The sequence below is a fragment of the Homo sapiens genome, chromosome 6, assembly GCF_000001405.40.
Source record: "Homo sapiens chromosome 6, GRCh38.p14 Primary Assembly".
Taxonomy (NCBI): Eukaryota; Metazoa; Chordata; class Mammalia; order Primates; family Hominidae; genus Homo; species Homo sapiens.
This window is the reverse complement of record NC_000006.12, coordinates 136,025,113-136,042,864: the sequence shown is the minus strand read 5'-3', so window position 1 is coordinate 136,042,864 and position 17,752 is coordinate 136,025,113. Positions and strand designations below refer to the sequence as shown.

Sequence of the window (17,752 nt, the reverse complement as noted above, 5' to 3'; positions counted from 1 at the left end):
CCCTGGTGCCTAGCACAGTGCCTGGTATACACTAAGCATCCCATAAATGCTTCTTGATTATAATGATCGAAATGTTCATTCTTCAACATATTTGATTTATATTGTGCTTGATACTTGAGACATTTTGAAATAGTAGTTTAAATGTTAATTTGAATTGTAGAGTACTGGAATCAGAGAATGGTTCTGGAGATTTTCTTCTCTGAAATAATTTGATATTCAGGTCTGAGCATAAAGAAAATTTCTGATTTTGTATTCTCCTTGAAAGGCAGGAGACGTTACAATGGCTATGGGGAAGATGAGTTTCTTTCTTTGAGCGATTTGTGTGTATTTATATTTTCCTAGAACCAAAGCTTATTGAAATGGGAACGAGCTTAATAAATAAGTAAACTATAATGCAAAATTTAGACCAGAGACACCGAAATGAAAGGTAAGTTTCCCAGTTGCAGAGTTTGCGGTTATTTGGTTGAATTCCAAAATCTAATTATTTATTCAACTAAGAACAAGTCCTGCTAAGGGATATCTAGTCTTAAACAGGTTGCTGACTAGAATTATAATTAGCATCATATTTGTCCTCACAGCATCTGAGAAGCTACTTAATTATTTTCTATCCTCATCCTTCTCCCCACTCCCCACATGGGTGCATGCTGTCACTGCAATGGTGTAAGCTGACTTTCTATTGATAACAGTTGGGGATCTTTCCTTGGATATTTGCAGTATTTGAAGCTTGGATATAAGACTAAAGCCCACAGAATAAGTAGAAAATGTATACGAGACACAATCCTTTGACTTGTTCTGCATGGTAATACTATTTTTCTGGTTTGACCAAGGTTTATATCACATCATGAGTTCTCATTTTGCCCCATCTACATGTAATCAATAAAGCCATGTCTTGGTTTAAATTTAAATTTCTATTACCCAGCATGTACCCTGACCACATGAGTTCTGTGGACCAGAGTTGGGCAATCGAAATGCTGGTCTGGTTCTGATACAGTTTCAGTGTGTGATCCCGGATGCCTTATTGAGTCTCTCTGAACTATTTACCTCATCTCCAAAATACAGGGGTTAACTAGATAATTAGATAATTCCTTTGTTTGCTTCATAAAGGGAAAAAGATGTGAGTATTAACACAATTAAATAATTGGGTACAGTTCAAAGAACAGAGTTGACACTTGGACCTCAAGCATGCTGATAACTTCCAGAGCCCCTTGCTAGGGTGAACAGTGCCTTGGCCAATGCCCAGCTTTGGGGGCACTCCCAGATGCACAGATCTAACATGTGAAGGTGACAAGCTCCTCTTCCTTCCTTCTATCATCTCCCATTCCCTCCTACAGTCTATTGCTTTGGACAGCCACCCAACAGTCGGCAGAGCATGCCAGTCTGAAGATGGTGGAAGACGTTTCTATGTATCACCTTCTCTCTGGCACTCCCCCACTTTCTCCAGGGGACTGTTCTTTCCATTCCATACTCCTAATTCAGCGTATTTCACCTTAAAATCTCTCACGAACACATATTTATGTTCCCATATTTTTTTTATTCTCTCCTTTTATTACCTTAGCCAAATCTCAGAACATTTTTCTACTTCACTTGTGAGAAACAAAGTTCCAGTCTTGTTGAAGAAGGGTGCGTAAAAATAATGATGCCCTTTGCTAAGGAAAAGAAACACTGGGACTTTTAAGGTTCCATTAAACACATTAAGAGCCAATGACACCATCTTTAAAGTCCTCTAAAGTAACTGTTGGTTCGATTCAGAATTTCTGCAATTTCATGGTTTAAAAAAAGTTAAATCAATTCATTACCACAAGCAGTCAAAATATACACAGAATGTTATAACATTTAATTTTCCTGTTTTTAGTTACTAGCACAGCAAAAATATGTGTGCTATAAATGTAAAATGTTAAGTAACTACAGGTAAAGATAGCAAAGAGGAGGGAATAGATTACCACTGGGGGAGACGGGAGGCCGCTGGAGATCAGGAAAGGCATTTTAAAGAGAGAGATGCTTGACCTGGGCTTTGTTGTTTGAATAGAAAATTTTCAGTTGACTGAGCCAAGGAAGAAACATTTCAAGCATAAAGCAAGGCTCACCTGATGCATAGTCAGTTGCTTAAAAGGATTATGAAAGTATAAATTGAGGAGACTGAGGCAAGGATGAAATGACAGAGAGAGAGAGCGAGGGAGCACCGTGTCTTGCTGTTTTTTGAAGAGCTGTCTATCATAAACCTCTGCCTCTGTGCAGGAACTGAAAACAGCTTAAATCACCACTTTCTAAAAACAAACAAAAAAATGCCAGAAGTTTTGAAATAGTCTGTAAGTGTTCCTGAGGGCCCCATTGTTGTGCTGCTGTGGTGAAAATGATGCAGCTGAAGACACCTGATGCTCAGAGGAAATGCAGCATCAGGAATAGGATGAGTAAGGAAGAAGGTAAGAGACAGTTTGGAAAGTGAAGCCACTCATCTTTGGGGTTGCATCCTATGACCTGCTGCTGCATAGATGGATGATGATGAAAAGGTTTTATGCCCATTCCAGTAAGGATGAGCCCTCATCTCCCTGAGAGTGAGGAGGCACAGGAGGAAGAACAGGAGGCAAACACACATCCTTTGGAAAGGTGTTATAAAGCCTGTCTCCACACAGGCAGGCAACCTCAACAGCAGACCAGGGTGCAGCTTCCCTGGGAATCCAAGTGGCTTCAGAGACAGTTTCCACTGAATGTGAGGCAGTGGTAGAGAGGTATAGTAAGACTCAACAAGCTCTGCTTCATCATGTCCAGAAAAGTGTGCCTTTTAAGTAATAAGAAGCTACAGGAGTTCTGCTTTTTCTCCAGAGTATTGCTTTTTCAGGAATTAGATGTTCACTAATATAGAACATAAATAATAATGTACACCTATCTCCACAGACATGCTAACAACTATTGAATTAGATAGTTTTATCAAAGGGTGCAGTTTGTAATATGAATTTTAATCATTTAATTGACTGAAACAAACCTAAAGTGCTAAGAGTTGAAGTGTCAGAGTAAAATTTTCTGCCCAGGTGGGTTTTTCCATTTTTCTTACCCTACTCACATGCAACACTGGTTTAGCGTTACCTCATTTCATCTGACCAAGACCCATCTCCCTGGGCATCCTTCTCCCAATTGCCACATAAACCTCAGTTTTATTCGTTTCCCTCACTTTCCTATGTACTCAAGGACTCATTGTTTACTGGAGACCAACCCTGTTTTTTTCTCCCTTTTAAATCTTTTCTTTTCCCAGAGTATTAACTTCTTAATAATATTCTTTACAGATTATTAAGTCATAACTTAAAAAAAGTTCCTGGCATAAATCATTAAAATCAAAACTAGCCAGATTTTTATTTCCTACTCTGTTTCCACGAGAAAGGGAGAGGTAATTTTTGATGTATCTTTTCCATCTACCCCATCCCTCACCGCCAATGGCACGCCAGGATTCCACTGCATAGGCCTAGCCAAGACTTCAGATGCATAAACACACACTCATGTTCTTTCTTCTGAAGTGAACCCACCACTTTCCAAATATCTAGCAACATATTCCTCAAAGAAAGAGAGTGCCCTGTAGTCAGCTGTGGCTTTCTTAGTTTACGAAGCCCCTTGGGATCCTTCCCAGGCATGCTGGGTGTCTTGGTGGTGGTTGTATCCACTGTCAGAAACACAGTGAAGTTCTCCACAACCGTCCCAAACACAGCACATTCTTATGACAAGACAAAGTCCCTGGGAATCATTATTTCCACATTTGTGAGTGAGTTGATATCAATAAAGGTGTTTATATTGCTGACATTTGCCAAAGGGGAAACCAAGTCAAGAAAGTTTACCAACTTGCCCAGGACATAAAAAGCTTGCATGCCAAACTCAGTGCTGGGAACATAATACATGCTGTAAATGGCATAGTTAAAAATTGGAAAATGTATTTTACTTTATAGAAAGAATGATAAAAAGCCACCCAAGGAGAATATTCTCCTAGGGATATCTCTAACTTGTTGACAAGAAATGTTAGAGTCAGGATGGCCATTAAAGAGCATCCAATTCCACCCCCTCCTTGGTGGGGACTGAAACTCAGGAAATTTGGCTTGTGCAAGCCCAAAGGGCAAGCATTTGTCAAGCTGAGTCCAGGACCCAGGTTTCTTGATTTCCAGTCAAATGCTCCTCCTACTAAATCACTCTTAATTTCAAGATGCATTTCTATCATACAGCAGACATTTGGAAGTCACAGCCCTCAGACCTGATGCTACACAGTTCATTTTCCTCCCTATGGCTTGGACTCTACAAAGAAAGGGAGTTAGTTATCAGACTTGGTCCTGTGACCTATTACACCCCATGGTCAATTTACCTGGAAAGCTGCGGAGAGCATCTTCATTGTCCAGAATGCCTCTCTGTTTGGTCGCCTGCAGCTCACTTTTGGATTTCCAAACCAGCTTTACCATCCTGATCATCTCTGGCAAGTCCCAGGGCAGCGGCCCCTGCTGGCACCCCGGCCGGCTTCCCGGGGAGGAGGGCAGCACACCTTCTGGGCCTGTCCACCTCCTGCCTAGCTCTGCTGGGTGGAAATATCGCTCTAGCACAGGCATTCTGTCTTGTGCCCCAGAAGAGGAGGTAGTGGTGGTGGTGGTGCTGCTGCTGCTGCTGCTGTTGCTGCTGCTGCTGTTTCTGCTTCTGCTGCTGCTGCTGCTGCTACCACAGGGGAAATTCTTCCCAGGCAGGGAAAAGCGAACCCCCGTAAGATCCTCTCCAGCTTCGGAAAGACAAGCCTCCTCCAGCCTGGCACAACCTCCCTGTCTCTTCAGGCCCTCCACAAACACTGCCGACGAGAGCGATTCACTTCCCTAGGTTTCTCTCTGGTGAGAAACTGTTACTGTACTCCTTCCTTAGAGATAGAATGCATTTTTTTTCCCCTCCTCTCTCTGGCACTGAGTTCACAGCACTTAATTAATCCCAGGCTACAGCTGGAACGACAGCAGGGAGAAAAAAAAAAGCCATCGAGGTTCTAGCATTTGCTTTTCCTCTTCTTTCTTCTGATTTATTTGTTCTCAATTCTCTTTTGGTGCTTGTCAAAGTTTGTTGACTCTTAGCTCTTTGTCGGCTTAGCTCTTAAGGACTTCAGGCAAAGAAGCGGGGCTTCCCCTTTGCTAACCTCACAGAGGGGCTCCCCCCTTGCTGGAGGCCAGTTATCTGGAGGTGTCAGGTGAGGAGTCACCCCTGTGGTACAGGCTCAGGCCTGCAAGCCCCAAGGAGTTCTCAAAAAAACAGAGGAAGCTGAGAGTCTGCAGAGCCAATCTGCAGCTGCTTCTCTCTGGAGGGCCTGATGGGGGTTGGGGGGCACCTTGCCCAGTCACCAAGACCAGTGCTGGGATGGGCTTGGTTGATCCTCAGTGCCTCAGTTTGATCACTCTCGCTCCTTCTCCACATCCCTCCCCCTTGTGTCATTTGGTTCTCGGCAAACCTATCTGGGTTATGACCTATTAGTCAAATCCCTTCATAACCTCAGCTGCCCTTCAGCTGGAAGGGAAATAACATTGAATCACATTCCACAGTTAACTCCGAAAGATGCGAATTCGGGAAGCATCAAGATCCTCATGCGTATGGGCAGTGGCCTGCATAGCCTGGATATGTGGCTCAGGCTCATTCAAAACCCATTTTCAAAGGAACAAGCATTTTAAAGGATGTTCACAGGGGACATAAATGGCAATGAAAGAAAGAAAAGAATGTTAACAATTCACCTTCTGGAGGGAGAGCACTGTTGATTTATTATGTGGGCCACTGACTACTGTGTCCCCGACCTGAGAGTGGTTGAATCGAGGGCAACATCAACTGTGGGCCATGCCTCTTGTTCCTAGTCTCAGAGATGGAGGCGCTAACCCTGAAAGTAAGAACCAATTCAACAAAAGGCGATGCCCCCTGTAGCTTATGTGAAAGGCCTTGGACAGAAACGAAAGTAGGGTAGTTTTGTATTTGGCACTTTTGCCAGCAAATTGGGTTTGTAGGAACAATTTGAACTTGCACATTCAAGTGAATAGCCCCTGTTTTCTTGGAGAACATTGTAACAATCCCATCTTCCTCTCTTCACGTCTCCACATTGCAAAGTGCTTTATTTTGCTTGGCATGCCATTTTGCTGGTGTATAATCTGTTGCTTCTGCTCTACATTCCTTTCAAGGCTGGTTTATCACACAATTATTTGATATTTCTTCATGGGAGAGAGGAGGAAACTTGGGGAAGAGGAGAAAGATCGTTGTAGAGTGTGTTTTATTTTCATTACTCCCACCTCATTTCTTTTTAAAGTTGAAACCAGCAAAGACAACTGTAATTTTATTGTTGTTTTATTATTTCTCTAAATCCATGGTTAATAAGTTTAGTTTTCCATACTGGATTAAGTGAATTTTCTTTTTTCTGGATGGAAAAGCATACTGGCAAACCTACTCTCCTTCCTAACAGGTGAAGAAGGGGCAAGAGGGTATAAAACAATAATAAAGACATTGAAGACACTGCTTTTGGTGAATTTTGTTATGAAAATATTGATCTAGCAGCTCTTTCTATAACAACCAGATATACATACAACACAATTAGGGAATAATCAGCGGTCTACTTGATTAGAAAGATGTGCCCTTCCTTTTTCCCTCTCTGATAAGAGATGAAAGGATTTCACCATCAGTTCAACACTTCCACCACTTTGACAGCCCGTCCAGTCCTTATCTTACCCTTCCATCAGGCTGGGGGCATCAAGACTCTCTAGGATTGAGATGATTTTATTTAATAATCACATGTAGACTGTTTGCTTTATTATCATATTTCCTGAATAATGTCTTAAACTCACTCCTCAGTCACAAACTTCCTTGACATAACAACTGAAGAGTTTCCTAAGTGTTTGACTATTTTTATTTTTGTTCAGTTATTTTGCAATAGTACTTAGCATCAGGATATCCTGACCCTTGGAACAAAGGGGTTAAGAACAAAGAAAACAAATATGTGATATCATATATCACATACACTAATGTACTAAGAACACAACACTTCATTGTTCATTTCTTCAAGAATGACTTTTTAAAAAAAATCCAAGGATATACATTTCCATTGTATCCTCTGTACTATTTTATCTAGTTCCTTGTAAAAATATCTTAGAGAAATTACAAAATGTTGGATCACTGAGCACGAATACTTCCTAGTGGAGATGAGTCAGGGCCAAGCCATCACCATTTCACATTTTCATTCCCAAGGAGGAACCTACTTCATTTGAAGGTTTGAAACCTGGAAATATTTGCACAATTTAAAAAAAGTTCCCCCAATATGGGATTATTTTCATCCTGGAGTATAAGGGCAAAAATACCACAAGAAAGGTCATTCTCATGGTATTTCTGGCTCACATAGAAACAGGAAGTACAGGAAATCTTGCGAGAAAGCTTGGCTCGGAAATTTTTGGCTCAACTGCAGGTTCAAGAGATTGGGACAAACTGATGCGAGGCTAGTACTTGCTGGACTAAAACCTCTCTACCATGTGAATTATCTGAAAGGTGGTTTTGTTACATTTCGTAGCTAACATCTCATAGGCTGGGATCTCTTTTGTTTTTCAGATAGTTACTTTAGAAGAACATGCCTGTAAACCTATAATTTTCACTACTCAGTGGACATCATTCATCTTGATATGGTATCTGCAGCCAGAAGTTTGGATCACTGAGGGTGGGGAAAGGGTGGGGTTGTTATGTGATCAAAGGAATCATGGAACAGAGAAGACCCATCTAGGTAACTTGTGAGGATTCTTACACATGTTAATATCAGTAATTAATGGGTTGCAGACAGGACATTTTAAGATAGATTTTCAAAATAACCAAGTTCTTTTTCAGGCATTGTGAATCAACCCAAAATAATGAGAACTAACAAAGTCAAAACAGCTTGTTCCAATGGACAATGGACACCTACTTGTATCAAAAAGACTTTGCTGTTCCTGGAAGTACTGTTACTTGTTGAGGGTGTGATGGCTTCATGGCTTCGAGGTTACTTTGAGGAGCTGGGGTGCCGGCTGTGCGGGCCCTGAGGGCCCAGGGTCCCTGAGGGGTGGTTGAAGTGCACTCCAATGCATCTGGAGGTGATGTTCTTACTGACAATGAGCAGGTGACTGGGTTGGAGAGGGATATCATGATGGCTGCACGGAAGGGACTGGACCCATATAATATACTACCCCCAAAGGCAGCTTCAGGTACCAAAGAGGACCTTAATTTAGCCCCCCTCCTTCACCAGCAGTGGGCAGCATCTGTGAAGAGAATAGTGCCATCATCTGGTTTTGGCTGGACAAAGGTGAGCCCCGGTGATGCCCTGACTGGAAACTATTACAAGCTGCCCCACCAGTGGGCCCACTGAGCCCCTGCACTAAGTTACTCAAAATGTGCTAAAAAGTTTCTTCTTTTTAATAAAAACTAGCCATTGCATTGGCTCCTTCTTCCAAAAACTAAAAATAAAAAGACTTTGCTTTGTGGTTGGAGCTATAAAAGAATTGATAACCCCGATACTAAAGTATACAACCAAGAAAAGTGTCAAATATATAGTTGATTTAGAACCTGGATTATGTTGAAGAATTTTTGGTGTTCTGAGGGCTATGTAAAAATCTTGTAGACTATGGGTGCTCCAGTCACTAGGCAGATAAGCATTTATTATACATGATTTGTAAAATAAGGCATTTATAATGTTAAATATTTCTAACAATTCTAGAGAATGTACCTTTCAAAAAAATGGAAACTTAGAAACATATATCCCTTGTCATTTTCTTTCACTTTGAATCTATTAATAGATTCTTACAAAACAAAAAGTTTAATAAAAATTTTCTCACTCAGATATTTTGGAATTGTTTTATACCCTTATTGACCCTTATCTGTGGCCTATCTTTTGGAAAAAAATGCAAACTATGGAGGGAGTTTATTTATTTTGTCCTGAACTTTCCTCTCCATCAGTTCAAGTATGGATGTGTAAACACACACACACACACACATGCACACACACGACCACTCTGCTTTTACAAATGCAATTCAAAAAAAAAATTCAAAATGAGCAGGGAAGTAAAAACAGGTCTTTCAACTTGGTTCTATACAGTCCAAGTAGAAGAACTGCAAACAATTTAGGAGACATAGAAATGTGATAACTCTGGCCTTAGCTAATCTCAAGAAATAATGCCAGCAAGTAGGAAAAACGACTTAGTCTACAGACCGACCCTACAAGGCAGCACATATTTCCATTGTCATGGGGAAAGGGGGAAAGCATGTGGGGAGAGATGAGGAAAGACAGGTGGGGCGAAGTAGGAGGAGTGTCTAAACCATACCCAATCATTCTCTTGTTCACTCTGCAAATGAATATTAACTGTGGGAGCAACAGCAGAAGGGAAGACCTTCTGTGCTAGCCTTTGGGTCCTTTTTCAGGTACTGGGGACCTGCCCGGCCTCTTGTGCCCTAATTCTGGTTTTCAGTGTGAGTGACCTCTCCCTCCTTTACTTATTCAATTATTTTTGTATGTTTTAAGAGAGAAACTAGGATTTCAGCTAACATCACACTCTATCCTGTTAGCTGTTAAAGATCTTAACTAATGCTAAGTTTACTGTCTCTGTGAATTTTCCAAAAAAATGGGTCCAGTGAGACAAAAGGTTGAGAACAACATGGCAGGAAGACTTGATTTTCTCTACTCAGCTCCTGCCTGCTGATGAATACAGCCTCCTATTCTGTCCCACTACTGAACATCTGATACTTCGGTGTGTGCCCCTGGCACCCTCTGACTATAGCCTTTCTAGGATTTCAGGACTTATTTCTGATTGTGAAAGGTCACAGTGGTGGTAGAGTACACTTTTCAGAATTTCACATTCGAGTCTGTCAACTTCTTAGAAAACAGCTACAACAAGGAAATCTCTAAAGTCACTCTCTAAGACTACTTATCTGAGAGTTACAAAAACTGGGTTTTGATCTATACTCACCACTGAGCTTTGCCCCAAATTTGGGGCCTTATCTATAAATGGGTATGATGGCAACTTTTTATCCATCACACTGGGATCTTGAAAGGATTAAATAAGACTAGAATGTCAGTTATTTTTAAACTGTAATGTGCTATAAAAATTTAATATTGTTATTTTTAAGCTATATGATATCACAGTTGACAAGTTCATTAAACACAAATTTTGGCTATCCTTCCCTGGGATATGTTAGAAAGCTGGAAAGTCAAGCCCTTCAACCCTTGAAGTAGGTCTCACTTCGGAAATTTGGGTTCCCCAGCGAGAATGCAGGAGTAAAGGAAATCAAAGGCAGGGCTGTTGGATATAGGGTACTGGGGAGTGACCTGTGGCAGAAGACAGTAAGAGATTTGATGGTAGCAAGGTTCTTAAGGTAGGCCTGGTGAAAGTATGAATGAGAATAGACAGATACAGAACAATGTATGTGGCTCATAAGATAAATATTCTTTGTAAGTGCATTTTGGAGGGATAAAAGCCCAGGAATCATGTCTAGGGTCTCATCCTGCATGATCTTTACCATGTATTATTTAGTGCCCTAGTTAATGCTGTATAGGTTCTCTTAATAGGGAATTTTGTTTTTAGTCCAAAGTGACTAAACACAAAATGTGTTTGATGTTCATGAGCTGTGCAGCTTTGTGTCATATGCTGTGGTAGTGAACATGTATCTTCAGGCCCCCTACTGGCCTCATTTCCCTAGACAAACTGATGAGGGCCTCAGTGTTTTGTTTGGAGTCTTTATTTCTCAAACATTTTTATAACTTTGATTGCTCCTAACTGATCTCTGTTTAATTTGTAAGTGTGCTTAAAAGAAATGTAGTGTGCAGAATCAAATGTGATATTTAAAAAGTGGCCTGTACAAAGTCTGAAATATGTTAATTTTTTAAAATAAGTGAGATGCATAAATTTTGAACGCTCTCAAGAATTTGACCAGGTTAAGAAGATCTCAGGGAGAGTGGAGGAGAGATTATCCAGACATACTCAAAAAACTGCTGGAAAATGCCTGAGTGAGGGTTCTTTCCTCTTAATCTAATAAAAATAAACTAGACCACTAATAAGATATAGAAAGATTTTTTATATAAATGACATAACAAAAGGAAAGTGAGAAAATGATGAGGAATCAAGCCTTCTTTTTTTTTTTTTTTTTTTGAGACGGAGTCTCGCTCTGTCGCCCAGGCTGGAGTGCAGTGGCGGGATCTCGGCTCACTGCAAGCTCCGCCTCCCGGGTTCACGCCATTCTCCTGCCTCAGCCTCCCAAGTAGCTGGGACTACAGGCGCCCGCCACTACGCCCGGCTAATTTTTTGTATTTTTAGTAGAGACGGGGTTTCACCGTTTTAGCCGGGATGGTCTCGATCTCCTGACCTCGTGATCCGCCCGCCTCGGCCTCCCAAAGTGCTGGGATTACAGGCGTGAGCCACCGCGCCCGGCCCCTCCTGGTAATTATGAATTACATAGAACAGCTATGCCAAATGGTATCTCCTAGAGGCTATTCTAGATCAAGGCTTCTCAAATATTAATGTGCATTTGAATAACCTGGGGATTCCATTAAAATGCAGATTTCTGATTCCAGAAGTCTGGCCGGGACCTGAGACTCTGCATTTTTAACAGGTTTCCTGGGGATGTCAAGGTTGTTGGTCATGACCACACTCTGAATAGCAAGGCTAGAGTATAACCATGTGGCAAGGATTTTATGCCTGTTCCATATTAGTTATTTATGAAAGAAAATGCAGCAACCATCCCAGTCTTTCCAGATACACCTATTAGGACTTCTAAAAACAATCATGCTGGCGCAGGCCAAATACTCTCAATGGAAAGAAGCAACCAGAACTGCTATGTAAGAACAAAGGCTGTATCTGGGGACATTGAACCATAGCTTGTTAATTTTCTTTTATTCTTTTTTTCCCCTTATGGGTTAACTTTAAAGATAAGGTTGACTATCAACTATAAGCCCATGCAATAAATATATGTGATAGAATCTTAAAGAATTTCATAAACAAATACTATTTTTGACAGTCTTTTCTCATCAAATGTCAAATGCAATTTAGTTAGGCCAGTTTCTCCATGACTCCTTCTTTCCAGCATTTTGTTGCACCCCTCCTGCTATTTTCAGAATGGTTGGAATACAGGCAAGGCTCTGAGTCTTTGATCTCCATCATCAGGGATACTTTCAGCAAGACCTGCTCTTTCATTTGGTTTATTAAAGATTTATGTAAAGTAGTCTTTCCATGAAGCCTGGTAATCTTTCCCACTGTGATATTCCAGGCATGAGTGAATGGTGACCAGATGATTCCTCAAAGAGATAAAGATGGAAAAAAAAGGAAGCAGGCATTCATGGTGCTGTAGCCAGTGGCTAATGGTGCTGCTGATTCAGAGAAATCTACAGCAATGTCAGTCTCAGCGAAACACACACACACAACACATGCACACACACACATGCACACACAGCACAAAAGTTGAATCAAGTAAACTTTGCAATAGGCTGCATTCTTTAACAGGTTTCACCTGGAATTCATGCGCCCTAGGCACAGTATTTATGGGAAAATGATGCCAGAAGCAAGAGACATGTGAAATCAGCTGGAAGACCAGGGTAACTAAGAGCATGGGTCTAGAACATTACCAGATTTCTATGATTAAAAATATGTACAGTTAACTAAACAAGAACGCTTAGAATAAATGAAAGCATCTGCTGGTAATTGGAAACACAGTTCACTGTGTTATTTTTTCCATTGTCTTTCCTGATTCTTTCTAAGGCTAAGTGCTTTGCTATGGTTATGAACACCAATATTTCCTGATATATATAATCCAGGGGAGTAACTAAATAATGAGAAAGTTGGAAGATATTGCATTAAAAACTAGTATACAGAGTGTTTTATTATTTCTGGTAATTTTAGGAGTTGTTTTCCCCGGTAATGGCAGGAGAATTTAGAGTGAAAATTAAAGGAGTGGCCATTTAACATGTAGTATGTATACAACACATTCTTTGCATGGTACAGTACAGGGATTCCTACTGGACCCTTTTTGTTTGATATGCAGTGTTGCTAGAAGAATTATTGCACCATAATCAAGGGAAAAAAGCCCAGCACACTAGAATATTTGACAACTTTGACATGTGTCTAAGATCTTTATTATCAAAAGATTCTCTAAGAATTTCACTTTGGTAATTTTTTTTCATCCCACATTGAAATTTTAACTACATTTTTCTCCTTCTATTTTGAAAATTACTTTAAAATGATTGCATATCTTTCTATTTATAGGATATGCATACTAACTGATCCTGCTCTATTTGCTTATTTGGACCTCTGGGTCTATCTACTCTTTGTCCTCCATGATCTTCCTGGACCTATTTTGTGGTCTGCTGATAAGATTTCTTGTATTCTGTGTTTTCTGAGACATCTTTGCATTTGACGTTAACATTCTTTTGTCCACTTAGGTGCAAGGTAACATACATCTGTCTTTGACTTGCATATGTTCACATACCTTGCTGATTTTATGTTTGTGCGTCTCAATTAGAATATCAAGAGTCAACTTCAAGCCACAGATAACTGGGCTTTTAATAAATGCCTTTTAAATGCTGTTATTACTTTTTTTTTCCTGCTTTCAAACTTTGAGGAGGCAATTGATGAGGCTACTATTAAATTGTGTTTTTCAAGTCTCTCGTTAATCATTGAAAACTTCAGTTAAGTCTTATTTACCTTTAAAAGTTATGATATTCTGGATTGAACATAATTTATAATCATGTCATTTTCAAACATGTAACATGAAAAGTAATGGCAATATTAATACTAATTTGATGCAAAGATAATTATTACTTATAAAACTAGTTCAAATCCCTTTCTTGGGCATTCAGCACTTTCAAAAATAGGCTCCCACTCACCTAGTCCTGTAAACACATTCAAACTTACATTGAATATGCAAAATTTCTGTGGAAGTCATATTGTTGCACAAACATGTCAGATGCATCTGACATTATGTATAGTAGGCAGAATAATGGCCTTCCAAAGGTGCCCACATCCTAGTCCTCGGAACCTGTGAATATGTTAGGTTACATGGCAAAGGAGATTAAGGTAGTAGATGAAGTTAAGGTTGCTAATCAGCCATCATTAAAATACAGAGAATATCTGGATTATCTGGATGAGACCAAAATAATTTCACAAGTGTCCTTACATGTGGAAGAGGGAGGCAGAAGAGTCAGCGTCAGAGTGATGTGATGTGAGAAAGATTCAGCTAGCTGGTCATTGGTGACTTTGAAGATGGAAAGGGGCCTTGGGCCAAGGAATGGGAGGAGGCTCTCAAAGATAAAAAAGGCAGGAAAACAGATTATCCCTTAGAGCCTCCAGAAAGAAATACAGACCTGTAGACACCTTGACTTTACCTCCAGAACTGTAAGATAATGAATTTGTGTTGTTTTAAGCCCCTAAATTTGTGGTGATTTGTTATAACAGCAATAGGAAACAAATATATTATGTTACTGCTCACGTGGTCCTTCTTCTTGGGAAAGATTTTTCCACTTCTCTAATCCAAATAAAATTCCATGTTTTTTCATGAAGTCTTTGTGCCCCACCTTAAAGCTGACTCTTCTATTTAAACAAAGCAGGACCTCTTATCCATTTTGGTCATCTGGGATGTAACTTCACTTACGTCACTACTTGCCTTTGATGCTCTGGCCTGTCTTTATTTTGGATTGCAGAGGCTGTTGAACCATACTTCTTAACTTAACGTCTCAGTGCTGCGCCCTTAATTCATTCATTAATTCATTTAACATGCATTTATTGAGTGGTGAATTGTGCCTGCCCTACGCTAAGTGCTTGATATACAAAAACATGCTCCCTTCTCTTAAAATTGTTTACAAGTTTGGTGGAGAGACAGACACATATACAACTAACTATAAAGCATGGTGAACTACAGTGCTGTAATATAAATATAGATGCAATATATCCAAATTAGTTTTTGTTATTAAAAATGACAGGCTGGGCGTGGTGGCTCACACTTGTAATCCCAGCACTTTGGGAGGCTGAGGCAGCTGGATCACCTGAGGTCAGGAGTTCAAGACCAGCCTGGGTAACATGGTGAAACCCCATCTCTACTAAAAATATAAAAATTAGCCAGGCATGGTGGTGCGTGCCTGCAGTCCCATCTACTCAGGAGGCTGAGGCAGGAGAATTGCTTGAAGCCGGGAGGTGGAGGTTGCAGTGAGCCAAGATAGCACCACTGTACTCCAGCCTGGGCGACAGAGCAAGACTCTGTCTCAAAATAAATAAATAAATAAATATTAAAAAATGATAACCAATTTTTTTCATTCTTTTTTTATGTCTTGACAACTAAAACAGTGTCTTAGAAATTTTTACTTCACACTTTAAAAAATAGAAATTATATAGTATAGAATTTGTTCATAGCTAGGAAAACATGGGTGGTTAATTATGTTTTTGCTGATTATTTTTTATTTGATAGAATTTTTAAAGGCTTAGCTCTAATGATTGTCAGACTTCAAGAACATTCTTACTACTTTCCTCAGGTGAGTTGTTACTGTGTTCCTAGCAAACTGGGAGCTTAAGAAAAGTGTTTTATTACCACAAAGCAAAGAAAGAGGAATCACATAATGTGAGAGTTTAAAGGGACTTCAGAGATAGACTATTTCCATTAGATCACATCTTAAGTTAGCTTGGGCTGCTATAACAAAGTGCCATAGACTGGATGGCTTCGACAACAGAAGTTCATTTCTCACAGTTCCAGAGGCTGGGAAGTTTGAGGTTGGGGCACCAGCATGGTCAGATTCTGGTGAGGGCCCTCTTCCTAGCTACCAGGTGGTTGCCTTCCTGCTGTATCCTCACATGGTGGGGAGAGGGAGAGAAAGCAAGCTCTCTGGTGTCTCTTTCTATAAAGGTGCTAATCCAATTACGAAGGCTCTACCATTATATCCATATTACTTCCCATAGGTCCCACCTCCAAATACCATCACATTGGGAGTTAGGGTATCAACACATATGAATTTTGAAGGGACACATTCAGTGAATAGCAGATTATTTTCTAATTTTGCTAATAATGAAGCATGATCCAGAAAACAGAAGCTTCAGATTCCCACAGACCTGAGCCCAAGCACTTCCTTTGAATGCTTATGTACCAGATACAGCACTAAGCATTTCATATGCAATTCCTTATTGAATCCTGACAAGAATCCCCCAAAAGGTAGGCATTATCATGATCTCCTATGAAAGTAATTTGTTCAGGGTGCAGATACTATCAGGCTTTAGAAGGGTGATAAGCACACCTTCTTAGCACTCTGCTGTACTGCCTGTGTGGTTGGGATATTGTATAAAGCAGTAGAAACTCTGCTTGATTTACAGCTTATCATCATATCTGGCTGCTAAACATTTAAGTCCGATGAATTGAAGAAAAGGAAGAATAATTACCACACCCCAGCACCTTTTTCTATAGCTGTTCTTCATGGCAGGATTACATCTCATATTTCTCAAGCCAAAGTCACATCTTCACTGCCACCTGGGTCATGACTGTGACCAGCAGGGTGGATTTTAGATCTTTGCCACAACCTTTATCAAAAAAATGCTGAAAAAAGTCTTCATCTCTCATCGTGACCAGAGAGGAAGAACATGTTGCACGTGGTTCACATGAACATTTTAAAAAATTAAAGGAACATCTGATCTCCCTTCAGTAATGGGGTGGTTTCTTCAAATCAGATGCTAAACCACTAAGGTAACTTTATTTCTTACGAAAAGGGGCTAGCAATGGAGGGTTATCAGAGTAGTCTTTACCTTGTTATGTAAACAAAATTGCAGCAGCAACTCCGCTGTCTCTGACCTCGATTCTTGGGTCTGAAGAACCAGAGAATGATGATGTGACATTGGTGAATGGAGCTCACAGATCTACCCAAGACATTGGACAGCTATTTTCCTTTTGGAGCCATTTAGCAAGGCTGCTTACAATATCACAGTGCCAGCTGCATCTGTGCTTTCTAAACAGCTTGGCCAGAAATGGAAAAGAAAAAAAAAAGAGCTTTAAATGTTTCTGAGTGTTGAGGAAATGACTTGGGTCACTTTCTGCATGGACAACAGATATTCAAGTCTGGCCCTAGGCTGATTTCTGTCCTGGGGTAGTAGATGCAGAGATGAAGCTGAAGACAGACTTGTGTCTGGTGGATCAGGCATCTCTTCTATTTCCATGTGGTAAATCTGGTTACCTAGTCATGTGTATTTATAGTTCTACTAGGGCAATGTAAACCTAAAAATTCCATATCACCCTTATATAGCTCCTTCTTTTCAAAGGTGTTGCAGAGTGATAGAAAGGCTAGGTTCCCGTGTAATATCCCTAAGGGAAGGAAAGTCTAAACCCTCAGGCAAATCATTCTGACATTTAGGATCTTCAACTACTTTTTGCATTCCTCGTTTCTGTCCCTAATAATAATTTATTAATAAGCCCATGTACTTATTTGAATAAGTATCTAATAGTAGATACTCTAAATCTTTGACCTACTAAACCTAGTGAAGTCCAATGATTCCATTTGTTTTTCTACACTTCTGAAACACATTATAATCAATGCATTTTATTTTATTTAGCATTTTACATGGAAATTTGGTATATTCTGTATTGCATTTTTAAGATATTATAAGAGTGCAGGTATTCATTTCTTTGATATCTTCCTTAAAGCACCGCCCAAAGTGGTCTAAATCACAGTGCATGCTGAATTAGCACTATTGTTTCTATGGTAAAAATATGGAGAGAGTTCCGTGTGGGATTGCCACAGCATTTTTGGGAAACCTCA

At 40.1% G+C, this 17,752-nt stretch overlaps 1 protein-coding gene and 1 pseudogene across 1 annotated transcript in view, besides 2 other annotated features; one reads left to right on the top strand and one right to left on the bottom strand.

Annotated features, from left to right (window-relative positions):
- PDE7B (phosphodiesterase 7B) overlaps positions 1 to 17,752 on the bottom strand; it is a 343,874-nt gene that overhangs the window by 152,710 nt on the left and 173,412 nt on the right. The window lies entirely within an intron of this gene.
- Positions 4,060 to 4,560: an enhancer, noted in NCBI's record as "H3K4me1 hESC enhancer chr6:136359443-136359943 (GRCh37/hg19 assembly coordinates)". NCBI's record gives its function as "activates a minimal SCP1, AML or CMV promoter by ChIP-STARR-seq in naive H9 embryonic stem cells {active_cell/tissue: H9 hESC(naive)}" and the evidence as "EXISTENCE:reporter gene assay evidence [ECO:0000049][PMID:30033119]".
- Positions 4,561 to 5,061: an enhancer, noted in NCBI's record as "H3K4me1 hESC enhancer chr6:136358942-136359442 (GRCh37/hg19 assembly coordinates)". NCBI's record gives its function as "activates a minimal SCP1, AML or CMV promoter by ChIP-STARR-seq in naive H9 embryonic stem cells {active_cell/tissue: H9 hESC(naive)}" and the evidence as "EXISTENCE:reporter gene assay evidence [ECO:0000049][PMID:30033119]".
- On the top strand, positions 7,979 to 8,350 carry COX5BP2 (cytochrome c oxidase subunit 5B pseudogene 2; annotated as a pseudogene).